The 1646-nt window shown below is 53.5% G+C and overlaps 1 protein-coding gene across 1 annotated transcript; it reads left to right on the plus strand.

The window, feature by feature from the left end:
• Window positions 1–335: 335 nt before the first annotated feature.
• Window positions 336–1352, plus strand: SLC35G4 (solute carrier family 35 member G4). The gene has a single exon (NM_001282300.2). The coding sequence runs from the start codon at window positions 336–338 to the stop codon at window positions 1350–1352; it is 1017 nt and encodes a 338-aa protein (NP_001269229.1).
• The last annotated feature ends 294 nt before the right edge of the window (window positions 1353–1646 follow it).

Genomic DNA, 1646 nt, shown 5'->3' on the forward strand with positions numbered 1-1646 from the left:
CCCAGGGACACAAACACTGCGGAAGGCCGCAGGGTCCTCTGCCTAGGAAAACCAGAGACCTTTGTTCACTTGTTTATCTGCTGACCTTCCCTCCACTATTGTCCTATGACCCTGCCAAATCCCCCTCTCCGAGAAACACCCAAGAATGATCAACAAAAAAAAAAAGAAAGAAAGAAAAGAAGCAGAGTTGGACTCAGCGGGAAAATAGGCGTGCTACCACCTCAGGATAGTTCCAGGGAAGAACCCCACCCCAACTCCAATGAGGTCACAGTGGCTGGAGCTCTGAGGGGCCCAGGCTCCCTGAGCCAGGAGGAGAGGAGAAAGTCCAAGGAAAGATGGCTGGCAGTCACCCCTACTTCAACCTGCCTGACTCCACACACCCATCGCCGCCCTCCACTCCACCCAGCCTCCACTGGCACCAGCGCTGCCAGCCCTCTGATGCCACCAATGGCCTGCTGGTGGCCCTGCTGGGTGGGGGCCTGCCTGCTGGCTTCGTGGGCCCCCTTTCTCGTATGGCTTACCAGGCTTCCAACCTGCCCTCGCTGGAGCTGGTCATCTGTCGATGCCTCTTCCACCTCCCTATTGCCCTGCTACTTAAACTGCGTGGCGACCCCCTTCTGGGACCTCCTGACATCCGAGGCCGCACCTGCTTCTGTGCCCTGCTCAACGTCCTCAACATTGGATGTGCCTATAGTGCGGTTCAGGTGGTGCCCACTGGCAATGCTGCCACTGTTCGCAAACATTCTTCCACCGTCTGCTCCGCCATCCTCACCCTCTGCCTTGAGAGCCAGGTTCTCAGTGGCTACGACTGGTGTGGACTGTTGGGCAGCATCCTAGGACTAATAATCATTGTGGGACCTGGACTCTGGACACTACAGGAGGGGACCACGGGTGTCTACACCGGCCTGGGCTATGTGCAGGCTTTCCTGGGAGGACTGGCGCTGTCCCTGGGGCTTCTCGTCTATCGTTCTCTGCACTTTCCCTCCTGCCTCCCAACAGTGGCCTTCCTATCTGGCTTGGTGGGGCTGCTGGGCTCTGTGCCAGGCCTCTTTGTGCTGCAGTCCCCCGTGTTGCCCAGTGACCTCCTGAGTTGGAGTTGTGTGGGGGCAGTGGGGATCCTCACCTTGGTCTCCTTCACATGTGTGGGCTATGCGGTCACCAAGGCCCACCCTGCCCTGGTGTGTGCTGTCCTGCATTCCGAGGTGGTGATGGCCCTTATACTGCAGTATTTTATGCTCCATGAGACTGTGGCACCTTCTGACATCATGGGGGCAGGGGTTGTGCTGGGCAGCATTGCCATCATTACAGCCCGGAACCTCATCTGTGAGAGGACAGGGAAGGTGGAGGAGTGAGATAGAACTTGGGAGCCTGGGGGTTGGGAGGGACAGGGATAAATAAAGGCAAAGACTGAAGACAAAAAAAAAAAAAAAAATTAAGGACCTAACCATTCAGAGGAAAAAAATGACCCGTCATGAAAATAAAAATCAATCAACAGAAGCAGACATAGAAATGATGTATTAGTGACTAGAAAAGGAGATTAAAACAGTTAGTATAAATATGCACCACATGTTCAAAATAGTAAAGCATCCACAAAATTAGAAATATAAGAGATATAAAAATGACTCAACTCAAATTTCTAGAGATGA

This window comes from Homo sapiens, chromosome 18, assembly GCF_000001405.40.
Source record: "Homo sapiens chromosome 18, GRCh38.p14 Primary Assembly".
Lineage (NCBI taxonomy): Eukaryota > Metazoa > Chordata > Mammalia > Primates > Hominidae > Homo > Homo sapiens.

Excerpts from the sequence above, each read along its gene's own strand:
- SLC35G4 (NM_001282300.2), top strand. The coding sequence starts at position 336 with ATGGCTGGCAGTCACCCCTACTTCAACCTGCCTGACTCCACACACCCA.